The sequence below is a fragment of the Homo sapiens genome, chromosome 5 (assembly GCF_000001405.40).
Source record: "Homo sapiens chromosome 5, GRCh38.p14 Primary Assembly".
Classification (NCBI taxonomy): Eukaryota; Metazoa; Chordata; class Mammalia; order Primates; family Hominidae; genus Homo; species Homo sapiens.
Genome location: NC_000005.10, coordinates 81,379,006 through 81,396,828, shown reverse-complemented (window position 1 = coordinate 81,396,828; position 17,823 = coordinate 81,379,006). Strand labels below are relative to the sequence as shown.

Here is a 17,823-nt window from a genome sequence, read left to right as displayed (position 1 = left end):
CTCAGCATCCCAAAGTGCTGGGATTATAAGCATGAGCCAACACTCCCGGCCTGAGATTCTGCATTTCTAAGAGGATCCTAGGTGAGGCTGAGGCTGCTTACCTGGGGACTACACTTTGATGCCCCTACCAGTGCTTTCTGCAATTTCCTCCCAAATAAACTGTCTGCTCTCAAATTCTTGTCAGAGGCTCTGTTTCTGGAGAAAGCATTTTTTTTTCTACCTCTCTACTTATATTCCAGGTTCCTTGTTCTTAGTTTTCACAAAACCCAGCCACTACCTTACAATGTGACCCAAGGAAATCACTTCATTTCCTCATCTCTAGAATAAGAGTTTAGACTGTCCAGTTCCCCTTCCCACTCCAGCATTTTAAAGATTTTCTCGTTATTCTAGTGATTGTGGAACTTCCCACACTTTTTTGGATCAGCTTTCCTGCTCCTGTGTACAAACTTTTAAAATCAAGCTGGCTTCACATTCTGCTTATCTTCAAAAATGTCTCTAAACACAAATGAAACTCGACCTTTTATTCAAGCATAATAGTAAAAATCTTTGACACCAGAGAGAAATGGAGGTAACAAATGTTCATGCATGCAGATGACATTTTCATTGTAAAAGGAAGAAAGGGACCATTCAGAAAAACACAAGAATAGTAAAATGAAAATTAGTATGAAACCAACAAAAGATATGAAACCATAATCTGAAGACATCTAAACAGGAGATAATAAAGATAAGAAAACACAGCAGTGAATTTGTGTACCATGTCTGCTTTTAAAGCAACATCTCTAGACAAACACACAAATATACACATGCTGTCCCCTTCAAGAAAATCATTTTGGAAACCCATCCTCTTACACTTATGCGTAAACATTTTTGAAATTTCTTCTTCTTTTTCTTTTTTTTTTTTTTTTTTTTTGAGACTCAAGCTCACTGCAACCTCTGCCTTTTTGGCTCAAGTGATCCTCCTGCCTCAGCCTCCTGAGTAGCTGGGACCACAGGGACACACCACCACGCCCAACTAATTCTTGTATTTTTGGTAGAGAGAGGGTTTCACCATGTTGCTCAGGCTGGTCTTGAACTCCTGAGCTCAAGCAATTTACCTAACCTCAGCCTCCCAAAGTGCTGGGATTATAGGCATGAGCCACTGCGCCTGGCCTAAGTTTCTTTAGTTTATAAGAAACCAAGTATACAACCATACACATAATTCAATATCACCACTTTAGTCACCACTTTTTACCCAAAATAATACAACCCAGCCTAAATGCAAACTTTATTTCCAGTAATTTAATAAACTTCCCAAATATTAATACAGTTCACTCATGTAACTGTCAGCTATTGCTGCATAACAGACAACCCCCAAAATCACAGTGGCACACAACAATAAGTAGTTATGTCTCACTCAAGAGTCTTCATGTCTGCTGGGTTGCTCTGCTTCAGGCTGTGAGTCCTCCGGCTGGCTGAGATGCCTCTGCAATACGTGAATTCAGTCTGGTACCCAGATGCTAATAGGCAGCTACTTGACCTCATGGCAGAGGTCAGATGTTCCTGAGAACAGAAACACGGTGCTTCTAAAGGCAAGACTGGTGGTACACTGCTATCTCTCCACATTCCATTCTTAAGCAAGCCACATGGCCAAGTCCAAGGTCAATAAATGACTCTCACAGAGTTATTGGTAGATGGAGTGAATATATGATAATCTATCAATTCCTAAATTATGATTTCTCAATACAGAAGTCATTAAAAAGGCATTTTCCAAGGAGGAGTGCCAAAAGCGATGTAATAACGTTATCATTGAAATAAGTGTATAGCTACATAATGGGACCATCTTGGATGCACAAGTTTTTGTTTGCTTTTAAAAGTTATTTTAATGCCTTTTATATAAGTCAGACTTCATGCTTGCCTCAGTGAAAACATGCAATTCCTATTTATGATTGGATTGTCCTGAAACCTATACACAGAGGCTCCTAAAAGCTATCAAGTCAACATTTCCTTATTTCTTCACTTTCATTTTAAAAAAAATCTTTTAAAAAGGAAAGAAAAATACCAGAATCTCCATTCTGATGTCGCCATGCTGAGGCTTGGCAAGCCAAAAATATAAGGATGAAAAGGCACCACCAATTCGTGAGAGTCGGCTAGGCTTCTTCGTGCTATTCCGGACAGTCAGGAGCCCTGGGTTCCAGCCAGGTGATCGGGTCGCTTATCGGCTCCTATCACCTCAGCTGCTTGCTCCACTTCTCCGGGTTTCCAGTTCTCCATCGTAAATGTGCTCCCTGGAGCAGCCTCCCCTGACAGTCAGACATCCACCAATCCATTAGATGCTGGAGGTTTTCTGGAGACACTGTTTCCCTAATGAGGACTGCTTTGTACAGTCACTGATAGCAGCTCTAGAAAGTGTAACAGCTTTTTTATCTCAAAAGCTGTTCCTCGCGCTCCGGCTCTCGGGGAGCCGCCTTCCAGACCTGTCTACCCGGGAGCCCCCTCCCCGCGCACTTCCCAGACTTCTCCTGAGACCCGAGAGCGCTGGTTTTCCCCCACTCGCGATAGTCCTGGGATGACAGTGCGGGCCCCCTCACTCGCAGCTCCCACCACCTGGCGGCCAGGGGTTCGCGGCCCGGGCGGGCGGCGCCAGTGCCCTCTGGAGCTGGGCGGGGAGGGCGGGGCGGGCGGAGCGGGCATGGTGGGGTGTCGGGGGCCGCAGGCGTAGCGCTCTCGCCCTGGCCATGGAGCGGCCGGCGCCCGGCGAGGTGGTCATGAGCCAAGCCATCCAGCCGGCGCACGCCACTGCGCGCGGCGAGCTGAGCGCGGGGCAGCTGCTCAAGTGGATCGACACCACCGCCTGCCTGGCGGGTAGGCGGGCGCCGGGGCTGCGGGGAGGCGCGGGACCGGGGCTGCGGGAGCGGCGGCGGCTGGGGGCTGGGGGGGGTAGGAAGGCGAGGAAGGTACTTGCGGAGAGCTGAACCCTGCGCAGCCAGGGATAGGGGTGTTGCAACAGTGCGCCCGCGCTGGGCATGGCCGAGACCGGTGGTTCCCAAATGTGTGGCTCTCGGGACTCCTTCATTCCATTAAACAAGTGAGGAGCCCAGAGAGCTTCTGCGGGGTTTTTTGTTTGTTTGTTTGTTGTTGTTGTTGTTGAGCTCTCTCCCGGGCTGGAGAGCGGTGGCGCCATCAGAGGTCGCTGCAGCCTCGACCTCCTGAGCTAAAGCGATCCTCCCACCTCAGCCTCCAGAGTAACTAGGACCACAGACGCACGCCACCAGGCCCAGCTGACTTTGGGAGTTTTGTTTTGTTTTGCTTTTGTAGAGATGGGGTCTCACTATGTTGCCCAGGCTGGTCTCAAACGCCTGGACTCAAGTGATCCTGAAGTGTTGGGAGGCCCCAGCCTCCCAAAGTGTTGGGATTACAGGCATGAGCCACCGCACCCAGGCAGCTTTTGTTTATGTAGGCTATTTATATCACATTTACCGTAATGGAAATTTAAAATTTTTAATTATTTTTAAAAAAGAAATGGACTACATTGTTAGCATAACATTTTTAATTAAGAAATAACTATTTTCCACAAGAACAAAAGTGTAGCGAGAGGAGTGGTGATAAAGGTTACATCCTGGCGAGTCTCTCTAAGGTCTGGCTAGTGGAGGATTGCTGACTACTCATACCTGCTTCTGCATTCACCCTGCTGCTACCACACCCTTATGTAGTCTCTGGAAAACTCCACTGTGTTCTTGTGACAGAATGACAGTAAAAATGGCAAAAACATTTATTAAGGACTGAATTATATCCCCCACACCACCCACCGAAATTTATACACTGAAGTCCTAACCCCTGGTGTGACTCTATTTGGAGTGAAGAATTAAGGCTAATGAGGTCATAAGAGTGGAATCCTGGTCCCATACAATTAATGTCCTTATAAGAAGAGACACTGGAGAGCTTCTCTCTGCCATGTGAGGCCACAGCAGGAAGACAGCCATCCACAGGCCAGGAAGAGAGCCCTCACTAGGACCTACAATGGGCAAGCACCTCGATTTGGAACTTCCCTGCCTCCACAATTGTGAGAAATCAATGATTCGTTTAAGCCTTTTTTTTTTTTAACAGGATTTGAGATTGGTTATATTAACAATGGAAACATGAATACAAAATTAATCCACACATAGGAAAAAAGAATAATACATAAACCACTGAGGTTGCTAATAATAATGATGCCTGTTTCCAAGGCAACTGAATACATTATGAGACCACTGAAGTGACTTTTAGTTACCTTGCTTAGTGCCTCTGTCTTGTGATGGAGAAACAATGGCCCACCTGCAATTGTCATCATTTCTATGACCTGACATCTTTGGAAACCATGGAAAGATCCAATTGACAATCAATTACTCTATACCTTAATAGTTACATTACTATTAGTAGTATAATATTAATAACTGATAATGTTACTAATATTAAGAAAACCTGTATGATAAAGTTGGTTTGGGCAACATGAATAACGCCTGTGTTAAACACTTTATGGTGACCTGAGGCACCACATAAGCAGGGGACATTATTTAGCCAAGGTGTAACTGAATCTGTGTAGTAATATAAAACTGATTTCTCTGGGATTTTCTCAGAGTTTTTTATAGGCCAGCATTATCTCTTTAGCCACATTACTGCAATCCCAGTCATGGCCCCCAAGGCATTTCTATGACCCCTAGGCACTGCTGGATTCCAAAATGTCTTCTCAATATTTAAAGAAAGATGAAATATTCTCACTATCCTTACTTCTGTCAGTGGCCCCATTATTTTTCCAGTCCCTTAAGTCTAAAGTCTTGAAGCTATCTGAGTAATCCTCTATCTCACACGTCCATGTATTATTTTGGAACATCTCACACACACGGTTTTTTATTTGTGAATCTTTTCCAGGGTTTACTATCTCTGGAGTGGCACCCAACTCATCTAGTTGAGCAAGTCAAAAGTCTAGGAGTCATCCTTGATATTTCTCTCTCCACCTTACTTCTCACTTCACATACTCTATGCATGGAGCAAGTCCTATCAGTGTTACCCCCTAAAGGAGTCTCTGAAATCCAAGCACTTTGCTGCACCCCCATTGCGACCATCTACTCCAAGCTATCATCATGTTTCATGCAGACTTCAGCAGTGATTTCCAAACTCATCTCCATTCGTTCTGGTCTCCTCTCCACACTGCTTCTAAAGTAATCTTTGAAGATGCTAATCTGATTGATCATGTCATATGTTTTGTTCATTTTTCCCTTTCTTTTCTTCACCAAGGGCTTTAAGGATTTTTCTAAGATGTTCAAGTGCTTCCTACTAAAAAATCTCCCACAGATAATAATTATAAACTCTGGGCAAAACACTAAATAAAAGAGACTTAAGGCAGGTGAAAAGTGAACAAAAGTAGGCTTATAACACTTGAAAGTTAACACATGAAAGAACAAAGTGGTGTTGGCTTTTTCTGTGTTTGTTTTATAAATGACTTGAAGCCTGAAAGAAAATGCCAGTCTGCTCCCAGCTATAGTTCTGATGGAAAACCCACAGGCTTGCTGGTTTGAAGAGCCCAAAGACAGGGTTTGGGAAAAGCACAGCTACTGAATGAAATACAAAAGGGAAAGTTCCAGAAAGGAAAGAGCCAGAGAGACAGAGCCCTAAAATCTATCTATAATCTTTTCCCAGATATCTGGCAAATCTTGAATCATGTATACATAGGACAGACTCCAAACCTCCTGGTTGAGGCCAAAAGAACTGAAAATAGTTGTGCCCATCTCTAGGTAGACAGATTATAGTTTTGGTTTGGTCAGGTTAACTGCTTGCTTTAAAAAACAAAACCAAAAACAAAACCAACACTTTTCAGAGAAACACAGTTTCTACAATGGATCACTCACAATGGCTAGGATATTATCCAAAATTACTTGAAATACAGAGGGAAACATGATTTATTCTTAAGAGAAAAGATGATCAATGGAGATTCATCCCTAGACAACCCTGATGCTGGAATTAAGCTTCAAGGATTTTAAAGCAGCTAGTATAACTGTGCTCAATAATATAATTAAAAATATGATAATAAAGATTGCTGTAATCCCAGCACTTTGGGAGGCTGAGGCAGGTGGATCACTTGAGGTCAGGAGTTCAAGACCAGCCTGGTCAACATGATGAAACCCTGTCTACTAAAAATACAAAAATTAGCCGGGTGTTGTGGCAGGTGCTTTTAATCCCAGCTACACAGGAGGCTGAGGCAGGAGAATCACTTGAATCTGGGAGGTGGAGATTGCAGTGAGCCGAGATTGTACCACTGCACTCCAGCCAGTGCTGGAGTCTCATTTGAGAATGAGACTCCATCTCAAAAGAAAAAGAAAAAGAAGAAAAAGATTGAAAAGACAGTACATTTCTGCAGAGTAATAGAAACTATTTTTTAAAAGCCAAATGGTAATTCCAGAACTGAAAAATACAGTGTCTAAAATAACAAACTCAATGGCTAGGCTTAACAGCAGAATGGACATGGCTGAGAAAAGAGTTAGTAAATGCAAAAATACATCAATATAAATTATCCAATCTAAGAACAGAAAAAAATGAATTTTAAAAATAAAGTGTGGCCAGGTACAATGGCTCATGCCTATAATCCTAGCACTTTGGGAGGCTCAGGTAGGAGGATGGTTTGAGCCCAGGAACTTGAGACCAGCCTGGGCAACATAGAGAGATCCTGTCTCTACCAAAAAAAGAAAATGTTAAAATTAGCCAGGCATGGTAGCATGTACCTGTAGTCCCAGCTACTCAGGAGGCTGAGGTGTGAGGATGACTTGAGCCTGGGAGGTCGAGGCTGCAGTGAGCCATGATTGCACCACTGTACTCCAGCCTGGGTAACAGAGCAAGACCCTGTCTCAAAAAAAAAAAAAAAAATACATAAATAAAATAAAGTGTCAGAGATTTGTGGAAAAATAAAACATAAACATAATTAGAGTTCCAAATATGGTGAAAGACATACAATTACAGATTCAAGGTCATAGAACATCAAGAAAAACTAATACAGGCTGGGCCTGGTGGCTCACACCTGTAATCCCAGTACTTTGGGAGGCTGAGGCAGGCAAATCACCTGAGGTCAGAAGTTCAAGACCAGCCTGGCCAACATGGTGAAATCCCATCTTTACTAAAAATACAAAAATTAGCTGGGCATGGTGGCGCACGCCTGTATTCCCAGCTACTCAGGAGGCTGAGCAGGAGAATCTCTTGAACCCAGGAGGCGGAGGTTGCAGTGAGCCAAGATTGTGCCACCACACTCCAGCCTGGATGACAGAGTGAGACTCTGTCTCCAATTTAAAAAAAGAAAGAAAGAAAAACTAATACAAAGAATACATCCAGGCATATCATAGTCAAACTATGATGAAGAGAAAATCTTGAATGCAGCCAGACTGAAACACCGTATATAGGAGAACAACAATTAGAATTACCACTGACCTCATCAGAAACAGTGGAGACCAGAAGGCAGTGCAACAATATCTTGAAGAATAATAATTACAAAAACTTTGAACCAAGAGCTTCAAGGCCCTGTGCATAGCCTGTCCTCAGCCTTCACTCCAGCCTCATCTCACCCACTCTCCCTCCTACTCTCTGCATTGCAGTCACCAGGACCTTTGTAGTCACTGTTCCCTCTGCTCAGCAGGCCTTCCCCTCCTCTGCCCTCCAGCCTTCCTGGATACCCCACCTAGTGTATTATCTCAGTTACTGACTGTCATAAAATCCCTGTTTTCTTCAGAGCACTTAGTCCATTTTGTCATTATGTATCTGTATTAGTCCATTTTCATGCTGCTGATAAAGACATATCTGAGACTGGGTAATTTATAAAGAAAAAGAGATTTAACGGACTCACAGTTCCATGTGGGTGGGGAAGCCTCACAATCATGGTGGAAGGTGGAAGGCACTTCTTATATGGCGGTGGCAGGAGAGAAAATGAGAACCAAGCACAAGGGGTTTCCCCTTATAAAACCATCACATCTCGTGAGGCTTATTCACTATTATGAGAATAGCACAGGAAAGACCTGCCCCCATGATTCAATTATCTCCCACCGGTTCCTTCCCACAACATGTGGGAATTATGGGAGCTACAACTCAAGATGAGGTTTGGGTGGGGACACAGCCAAACCATATCAATATCCATTTAATTAACCTCTAGCTCATCCACTAGACTCCATGAGAGCAGGGGTCCTGGCTGTTTCCCATTGCCAGCACCTTACGCAGAGGCTGCCTTATATAAAATAAAACAAGTGTTCAATCAATATCTGCTGAAGGAAGGAAGAAATGAAGGAAGGTTACCACTATTTTTATCAGTCATCATTTCGTACCTACTTACAATCACTTAGCTTCTCTTTGTTCTCCCAGGAAATCAGAAACAGCTTTAGGGTTTTCCACTTCTGCTGGTATGAAGGGCAATCAAAATCAAGAACCAGAACAAGCCAGTCCTGTGAGTTCATGTCATCTAATTGACACTCGTTTAAAAACACAGCACGCATGTAATGACATGTGAAGCCAGGACCCTATGGTGGTCCCCATATTTTTTTTCCTTTTAGTTTAATGACCCTTGAAAATCAATGGTATAAATCATGATTATTGAGCTCCTGAAACCCATATTTAGCCACGTCCTTCTCTGGGAGTGTTCTCTGGTTTGTCTAACCTACTCTTTCCTGAAAGTTCCTATTGCTTCTATAGTCAAAATCACTATTTAGAACAATGCATTTAATCTTTCTAAGCCTAAATTTTCTTATTTATAAAAGGGAGCTAATAATAGTACCAACTTCATGTAATCGACATGCTTAAATGACTAGTCCAGTGCCTGATCAATAATAAATGCTTAATAAAAAGTAACTGTCATGATTTTATTACTTTTTGATCCCTTAAGAAATCTAGTATAGTGCTACATATACAGAATAGATACCCAATATAAACAATAAAAGTTTAATTTTTTTACTGGTTACTGCATTTTAGTTATCATTTAAGTCATTCAAAATTGATAACTCAGCCGGGCATGGTGGCTCACACCTGTAATTCCAGTGCTTTGAGGGGCCAAGGCAGGAGGATCACTTGAGTCCAGGAGTTTGGGACCAGCTTGGGCAAAATCATGAGACCCTGTCTCCACAAAAAATATTTTAAACAATTTTTTAAAAGTTAGCTAGCTGTGGTGGCACATGCCTATAGTCCCAGCTACTTGGGAGGCTGAGGCAAGATCACTTGAGCCCAGGAGTTCGACGCTGGAGTGAGCTATGCTCGTGCCACTGCACTCCAGCCTAGGTGATACAGACCTCGTCTCTTAAAAAAAAAAAAAAAAAAAAGATACTCAAGATACTCATGTTGGTATACATTATAACACTTTATTACTAAGAATTAATAACCTCAACATCCCATTCCCTCATGTCAAGTAACTGGAATGAATGTTTATTAAGTATTCTTTAATCAATGATTTAAGCATATATTTGCAAGGTTTCAGCAGTTCCCTGGAAAACTTAAGCTCTAAAAGGGTACTGACTATGGCTGGATCTCTAAGTGCCACAGAGTGGACTGCTTAAAAGATAGAGCTCATGCCTGTAATCCCAGCACTTTGGGAGGCTGAGGCAGGCAGATCACGAGGTCAGGAGATCGAGACCATCCTGGCTAACATGGTGAAACCCCATCTCTACTAAAAATACAAAAAATTAGCTGGGCATGGTGGTGCACACCTGTAGTCCCAGCTACTCAGGAGGCTGAGGCAGGAGAATTGCTTGAACCCAGGAGGTGGAGGTTGAAATGAGCCAAGATCACACCATTGCACTCCAGCCTGGGTGACAGTGAGACTCTATCTGAAAAAAGAAAAAAAAAAAAAAAAAAAAAAATGGAACTCATCCAACTCAGTGTCTGGAAATCAGCAAGAACTTAACAAATGTTTGGTGCATTGAATTAAGTTGAGTCCACCTTGAGCATTCCTAGAGTCCGATTCTTCCATTTTCCCTTCCTTGAACATTTGAATGTCCAATTTTCTGCAGAATTAGATCCTAGACAGGAATGTGTTAAATACGTGCGCAGTGGGGTATCTCTCATGTCTTCTTACCTAGGACTATCAATTAATACATATGTAGTTATAATGATCCAGTACGCACAAGGAAGACAAATTCAGTGTAATTCACTCTTTTCTTCATCATGTGGCACCAGGACTGAAGTCTCCAAAACTAAAATGAGGTCAAAAGTTCTTATAAAGCCAATATAATCTGTTTGGCTTTCAATTGTGTTTCTCAAAATCAAATCTGGCAGAAGCACATGTCAAAATCTTCCCCACAGAGTATAAATTCTGGTGTTTTTTATGTAAAGCAAAACCAACAATAAAAAAAAAATCTGAGCAAATTACGTGCAGACATAGAACATGGAAATAACTAAGCTTCTTCCTGAACTCTCCCACCCTACTCAATACTCCTCCTTCAAGGTAATTAATGTATACTGAATTTGGCATAAATTTGGTAATAATAAAATAAATATTGACTAAATATCTACTGTGTGCCCATCTCTCTTTCTCTGATACCCAGAGAAGATCCTCTTTGATTTGGGATGACTCGGGGTTTCCCATACCGCTCAAGTGCTTACGGTGGTTAAATCATTTAAACAGATTCTGCTACTGGTTATGTGGGCAAGTGGCTACACCTGTGATGCTTTGATTTTAAAACAAGAAGGATAGTACCTGATAAAATATTTAAAGTCAGCACCAACTTACTAAAATTGCTATTTCAATAGCTAGATTTGCAGGATCTTGGTATTAAATTTCAAATACAAGACCATGTAAGTTAAAAATTAGGATAAAAAGTGCAGTAATTACCATACATTAGAAATATAACTCACAGAGCAAAGAAGCTTGTAATGAGCCAGTTGATCCAGAAAGTGTAGGCACAGTGGTGCTATAATGAATGAGGGATGGGTGACTAAAATCAATGCACTTACATTTCATTCCTTTCCCTTATACTGAAATATTCTCATATCACCACTAAAGCAGCACATTTTTATGTATTTTTTGAAGCTGAGAAACATGCTGGAGTTTCCTGCGTTACAGCCTCAGTGGATGACATACAGTTTGAGGAGACAGCTAGGTAAGTGACATTGCTCCATGGCTCCTTTCTCCTGGGTTTGTGGGTTCATCTGGGACATGTATTGGTGGCACCTGAGCTTATTCAGGCAGAGGTAGTGATCTTGTTTCTTAATAAAATAAATAACATGTGACCCAATTTAGGTAAGTAAAAAAATAATCATAGGGCCTACTTATAAGAAACACTCTTAAGTGTAACTTCACAGTCTCAATTTTGTGGAGAAATAGCTCTCAGCCTTAGATGCATTGTGGCATAAGGCATAACAGCCAAACAGACTTTCTATAAGCTCCTTTTTTTAATTGTCTCACTCTGCTGCCCAGACTGGAGTGCAGTAGTGTGATCTTGGCTCACTGCAACCTATTCCTCCTGGGCTCAAGTGATCCTCCTGCCTCAGCCTCCCAAGTAGCTGGGACTACAGGCACATGCCACCATGCCCACCTGGCTAATTTTTTTTGTATTTATTTATTTATTTATTTTTAGAGATGGGGTTTCATCATCTTGTCCAGGCTGATCTCGAACTCCTGGGCTCAAGCGATCCACCCACTGGCTTCCCAAGGTGCTGGGATTACAGGAGTGAGCCACCATGCCCGGCTACTATAAGCTAATTATTAACATCCCCTTCCTGTACTAGAAGAATAATTAATGATAATAAGTATCTTTATAATGGTGAATTTCATCAGGTTGTTAGGTAAACACTAATTCATCTGAGTAGAGAGAGTAAATTATGAAAAACATTTTATGTGTGAAAGTTCTTAACCATCTTTTACTGTAGAAAATTTCAAGATACACAAACATTTCAAACATACATATTTAGGTTGGTAATTGAGAAAACTGCGATTACTTTTCCACCAGCCTATAAAACAAGAGAGGATAGTACAGTGTATCGCAAGGACCCTTCACCCCTAGCTATAGCAATTATCAACTCACAGACACTCTTGCTTTATCAATACCTCTCCACACTCCCCCATATGCCTGGATTGTTTTGAGGAAAACCCCAAGCATCATCTGTAAATGTTTCAGTCTATACAGTCATGCATCACTTAATGACGGGATATGTTCTGAGAAATGCATCACTAACGACTTCATCCTTGTAGGAACATCATAGAGTGTACTTACACAAACCTCAACAGTACAGCCTCTTACACACCTAGGCTATGTGGTATAGCCTATTGCTCCTAGGCTACAAACTTGTGCAGCCTGTTACTGTACTGAAAACTGTAGGCAATTATAATAACATGGTGACTATTTGTGTATCTAAACATAGTTAAACATTAAAAAGATACAGTAAAATACAGTATAAAAGATGAAAAAATGGTACACCTGGCCAGGCGTGGTGGCTCACACCTGTAATCCCAGCACTTTGGGAGGCCTAGGGGGGTGGATCACCTGAGGTCAGCAGTTCAAAACCAGCCTGGCCAACATGAAACCCCGTCTATTTTGTACTAATTTTGTACTAAAAGTACAAAAATTAGCCAGTTGTGATGACGGGCGCTTGTAATCCCAGTTACTCAGGAGGCTAAGGCAGGAGAATAGCTTGAACCTGGGAGGCAGAGGTTGCAGTGAGCCAAGATCACGCCAATACACTCCAGCAGCCTGGGCGACAAGAGCAAGACTCTATCTACAAAAAAAAAAAAAAAAAAAAGTACACCTATGTAGGGCACTTAACCATGAATGGAGCTTGGAAGGCTGGAAGTTGCTCTGCAGGAGTGCAGGAGTCAGTGAGTGCTGAGCAAATATGAAGGCCCCAGACATTACTGTACACTACCTTAGAATTTATAAATACCACACACTTAGGCTACACCAAATTTATAAAAATATTTTTCTTTCTTTAATTATGAATTAACCTTAGATTATTGTAACTTTTTTACTCTATAAACTTAAAAAAATCTTTTTGATTCTTTTGTAATAATACTGAGCTTAAAACACAAGCCTTTTATAGAGCTGTTTAAAAATATTTTTCTTTATGTCCTTACCTTATTCTATAAGCTATTTTCTGTTTTTAAAATTTGTTATTTTTTTTTTTTACCTTTTAAACTTTTTTATTAAACACAATGACACAAACACATACATTACCTTAGGCCTACACAGGGTCAGGATCACCAGTATCACTGTTCTGCTTCCACATCCTGTCTTACTAGAAGGTCTTATGGGATTTATTAAACCAGGATTCAGTATAGGTGATAGGTCTCTTAAGTGTCTTTTAACATAAAATGTTCCCTTCCTTCTTTTATCTTGCAATTTATTTTTTAAAGAAACCTGGTCATTTGTTTTATAGAATTTACATCCACTGTAGCCTTGATTAATGTGTTCTCCTGTCCTTTGTATTTCTTGTAATCTGACAGTTACATCTAAAAATTGACATGATGAAGGTTTGATTTTGTTTTTTCTTTGAGATGGAGTCTTGTTCTGTCACCCAGGCTGGAGTGCAGTGGTGCGATCTTGACTCACTGCAACCCAGGTTCAAGCGATTGTCCTGCCTCAGCCTCCCGAGTAGCTGGGACTACAGGGCAGCTGCCACCATGCCCTGATAATGTTTGTATTTTTATTAGAGACAGGGTTTTGCCATGTTGGCCAGGCTGGTCTCAAACTCCTGACCTCAGGTGATCCACAGTGCTGGGATTACATGCGCCTGCCACCACGCCCGGCTGGTGAGGGTTTGATATTCGGTAAAAATTTCTCATGTCAAGGCCATATGATATCTAATGATCATAGACTACAACCATTCTGTCATTAGATATTGGAAACATGGTAATATGCTAATTCTATCATTTCTTCTTCATTTATTTTCTAAAATACTTCTCTAGAGGGAAACTCTCACTAATGACCTGAGTATCCTGAGGAAAAGTTTGTTCAGGAAAGTCTTGACTCTTTCCCTTTATTCATTAAGAGCCTATGGATTTTCATGTACTTGATGTGTTACAATTCATCCATGTTATTCTTCTTCTTTTTTTTTTTTTGAGACAGAGTTTTACTGTTGTCACCCAGGCTGGAGTGCGATGGCGCAATCTCAGCTCACTGCAACCTCCGCCTCCCAGGTTCAAGCGATTCTCCTGCCTCAGCCTCCCGAAGTAGCTGGGATTACAGGGGCCTGCCACAACACCCAGCTAATTTTTTTTGTATTTTTTAGTAGAGATGGGGTTTCATCATGTTGGCCAGGCTGGTCTCAAACTCCTGATCTCAGGTGATCCACCCACCTCGGCCTCCCAAAGTGCTGGGATTACAGGCATGAGCCACTGCGCCTGGGCAATGTTATTATTCTTACAGAAGTTCAGACTGCCCCATCTTTGAGCAGTGGGAGCTTCTTCAGTTTAATCCCTAAGTCCCTTGAACAAAAGCCCAAAGTTAAAGGTGCTTAATAACTCCTTGGCCTTCTGGTATAAAATGTTTCAGTCTCATCTTTTACATTTTCCCCCACAAACTTAGAATCCATTATTTCTCCAAGGAGTCCTGATTCCTTGCAGTAGAAATGAGAAGTAGAGACCACAACCTGGGCAGGAAAGGTGCACATCACATCAAAATGGGCATTCGTTCTCGGCCTTTTCAGCGGACAGAATTAGAAATTATGTATTTTTAAAGCATTTAAATTAATAAACTGCAATAATTTAGGGTTATATGGTTTTACTTAATTTCTTTGATTTTATGTCTATATCTCTGAGTTTTAATTTTATTTTATGCTGAATATCATGATATTTAAAGACATAAACTTATTTGATTGAAATTAATATGTATATACACATTAATTAGATTCAGAATAACAGTACCAATATTATCACTAACAAATGAATAGAGAAAGTAGCTTAAGATTATTTATGCAGTTTCTTTCTCAAACTGTATCTCATCTGGTACAGCCAAGTCACTGTATTTTGAAGTCATTTGAAATAATCATTTTCCATGTGGTTAAGCTACTGACTTCATACATTCTTAAGTTCATTTGTTTAATTTGCTTTTTATTTTGTAGGAATGACTTTTATTTTCATTTAATTTTGTTTTATAGTTTAAAATATCTACAGGTACCAGAGTCAAATCTGGAAAACAGACCCATTTCACCCTGGGGAAACTGGCTCCTCCCTACCTTCTGTCTAGGCCCCTCCCTCTCTTTCTATGTAAGCTTTATTTATTTTGTGCTGTATCCTTCTTTTTTTTAATGTAAAGAAATATTTATATGTATCCATGTTATTTTAAAAATAAATTTCAACACACTGTGTGTACTCTTCTCCACCTCACTTCTTTCACTTAAAAATGAGGTGGAGAAAAGTATATATAGTATATAAAATATACACTGTAAAATATGTAGTATTTCCATCTAGAAAATCACTCCATACCAATATGCAGTTATGTGCTGCATAGCAGCATTTTGGTCAGTGACAGTGGTCCCATAAGATTTTAATACTGGCCGGGTGCAGGGGCTCACGCCTGTAATCCCTGCACTTTGGAAGGCTGAGGTGGGTGGATCATCTGAGGTCAGGAATTTTGAGACCAGCCTGGCCAACATGATGAAACCCCATCTCTACTAAAAATAGAAAAAATTAGCTGGGTGTGGTGGCACGCGCCTGTAATCCCAGCTATTCGGGAAGCTGAGGCAGGAGAATCACTTGAACCTGAGAGGCGGAGGTTGCAGTGAGCCAAGATTGCACCACTGCACTCCAGCCTGGGCAACGAGAGCAAAACCCCATCTCTAAAAAAAAAAAAAAGGTTTTAATACTGCATTTTTACTGCATCTTTTCTACATTTAGCTATGTTTGGATACACAAATACTTACCATTGTGTTACGGTTACCTACAGTATTCAGCACAATAACATCCTCTACAGGTTTGTAGCCTAGGAGCAATAGGCTATACCGTATAGCCTAGGTGTGTAGGAGGCTATACCATCTAGATTAGTGTGGGTACACTCTATGATGTTTCCACAACAACAAAATCACCTAATGAAGCATTTCTCAGAACACACCCCTGTCATTAAACTAGGCATAACTGTAAGTAGATATTCATCATTCCTTTTAGTATCTACATAGTACTCCATTGTGGAGACGCACTACATTTTTCAACTGGCCCTCCACTGATGAACATTTATATTGTTTCCAGTCTTTTGCTATTACAAATAATATTTCAATTTGTAGTCTTGTGCAGATGTATGTTTGTTTGTATTTTTTCCAGTATATTTGTGGGATAGATTTCTTTTCTTTTTTTTTTTTTTTTTCTAAGACAGTCTCACTCTGTCACCCAGGCTGAAGTGCAATGGCACGATCTCGGCTCACTGCAACCTCTGCCTCCCAGGTTCAAGCGATTCTCCTGCCTCAGCCTCCCGAGTAGCTGAGATTACAGGCACGTGCCACCACACACAGCTAATTTTTGAATTTTTAGTAGAGACAGGGCTTTGCCATGTTGGCCAGGCTGGTCTCAAACTCCTGACCTCAGGTGATCCACCTGCCTCACCCTCCCAAAGTGCTGGGATTACAGGTGTGAGCCACCATGCCTGGCCTTTGTGGGATAGATTTCTAGAAATAGGATTGCTGAGTCAAAGGGTAAATGCATATGTCATTTTATTAAACATTGCCAAATTCCTCTCCAGAGCAGTTGTTATGTAGGTTTTATCAGTTTTCAAACTTATAAAATTAAGGGTTAATAAAACTGTGCCAGAAATTTAAATTTGTTCAGATTTCTAATATAGGAATTAATTGCTTAAATAAATATACATATGTATGTATTATTAAACTCTTTACCTCCAGTTTTTCTGCCAAAAAATGCTACAGATTATGACAGGTATGTAGAGTAACAATATGTGTGCAAAGGCTTTAACCAGATGCAGTCACTCTTCTAGGTAAACCCAACTGGTTCATCTTGTAGACTGTCTTTAATATATCTGGGCCAGATGCACTGGCTCATGCTGTATCCCAGCACTTTGGGAGTCCAACGCAGGAAGATCGCTTGACCCCAGGAATTTAAGGCTCCAGTGAGCCATGATTGAACCACTGCACTCTAGCCTGGGTGACAGAGTGAGATATGTATATCTGAACAAGCCTCTCTACTATGATTAAAATAGTATGAATTGCAATTATTTACCAGAAACCTGAGTAGGGTAATGTCGTCAAAGCTTTGGAGCCAGATAAGACCAGGGTTTGAACTCTGATCCTGCCAGTCACTATGTCACCTTCTAAGGCCGTTTCCTGATGGGAATGAAATGGGAATGATAATGCCCACCTCATGGGGTTACTGCTCAGTGAATGACGTGTTGTTAGATTATGATACAAAGCGTTTAGCATGGTGCTTTTTTTTTTATTATTATTGTACTTTAAGTTCTGGGGTACATGTGCAGAACGTGCAGGTTTGTTACATAGGTATACACGTGCCATGGTGGTTTGCTGCACCCATCAACCCATTATCAACATTAGGTATTTCTCCTAATACTATCCCTCCCCTAGCCCCCCACCCCCTGACAGACCCCCGTGTGTGATGTTCCCCTCCCTTTGTCCATGTGTTCTCATTGTTCAACTCCCACTTACAAGTGAGAACATGCGGTGTTTGGTTTTCTGTTCTTGTGTTAGTTTGCTGAGAATGACGGTTTCCAGCTTCATCAATGTCCCTGCAAAGGACATGAACTCATCCTTTTTTATGGCTGCATAGTATTACATGGTGTATATGTGCCACATTTTCTTTATCCAGTCTATCATTGATGGGCATTTGGGTTGGTTCCAAGTCTTTGCTATTGTGAACAGTGCCACAATAAATATACGTGTTCATGTGTCTTTATAGTAGAA

The 17,823-nt window shown here is 41.2% G+C and overlaps 1 protein-coding gene across 5 annotated transcripts in view; it reads left to right on the top strand.

The window, feature by feature from the left end:
* The first annotated feature begins 2,694 nt into the window (after positions 1 to 2,694).
* ACOT12 (acyl-CoA thioesterase 12) overlaps positions 2,695 to 17,823 on the top strand; it is an 85,526-nt gene continuing 70,397 nt past the window's right edge. For all 5 annotated transcript variants that reach the window (XM_017009047.2, XM_017009046.2, XM_017009045.2 and 2 more), the window contains exons 1-2: positions 2,695 to 2,841; positions 11,003 to 11,072. In XM_017009047.2, coding sequence (XP_016864536.1) covers positions 2,715 to 2,841; positions 11,003 to 11,072 — 197 coding nt within the window. In that variant the 5' untranslated portion in view covers positions 2,695 to 2,714. The remainder of the gene's footprint in view (positions 2,842 to 11,002; positions 11,073 to 17,823) is intronic.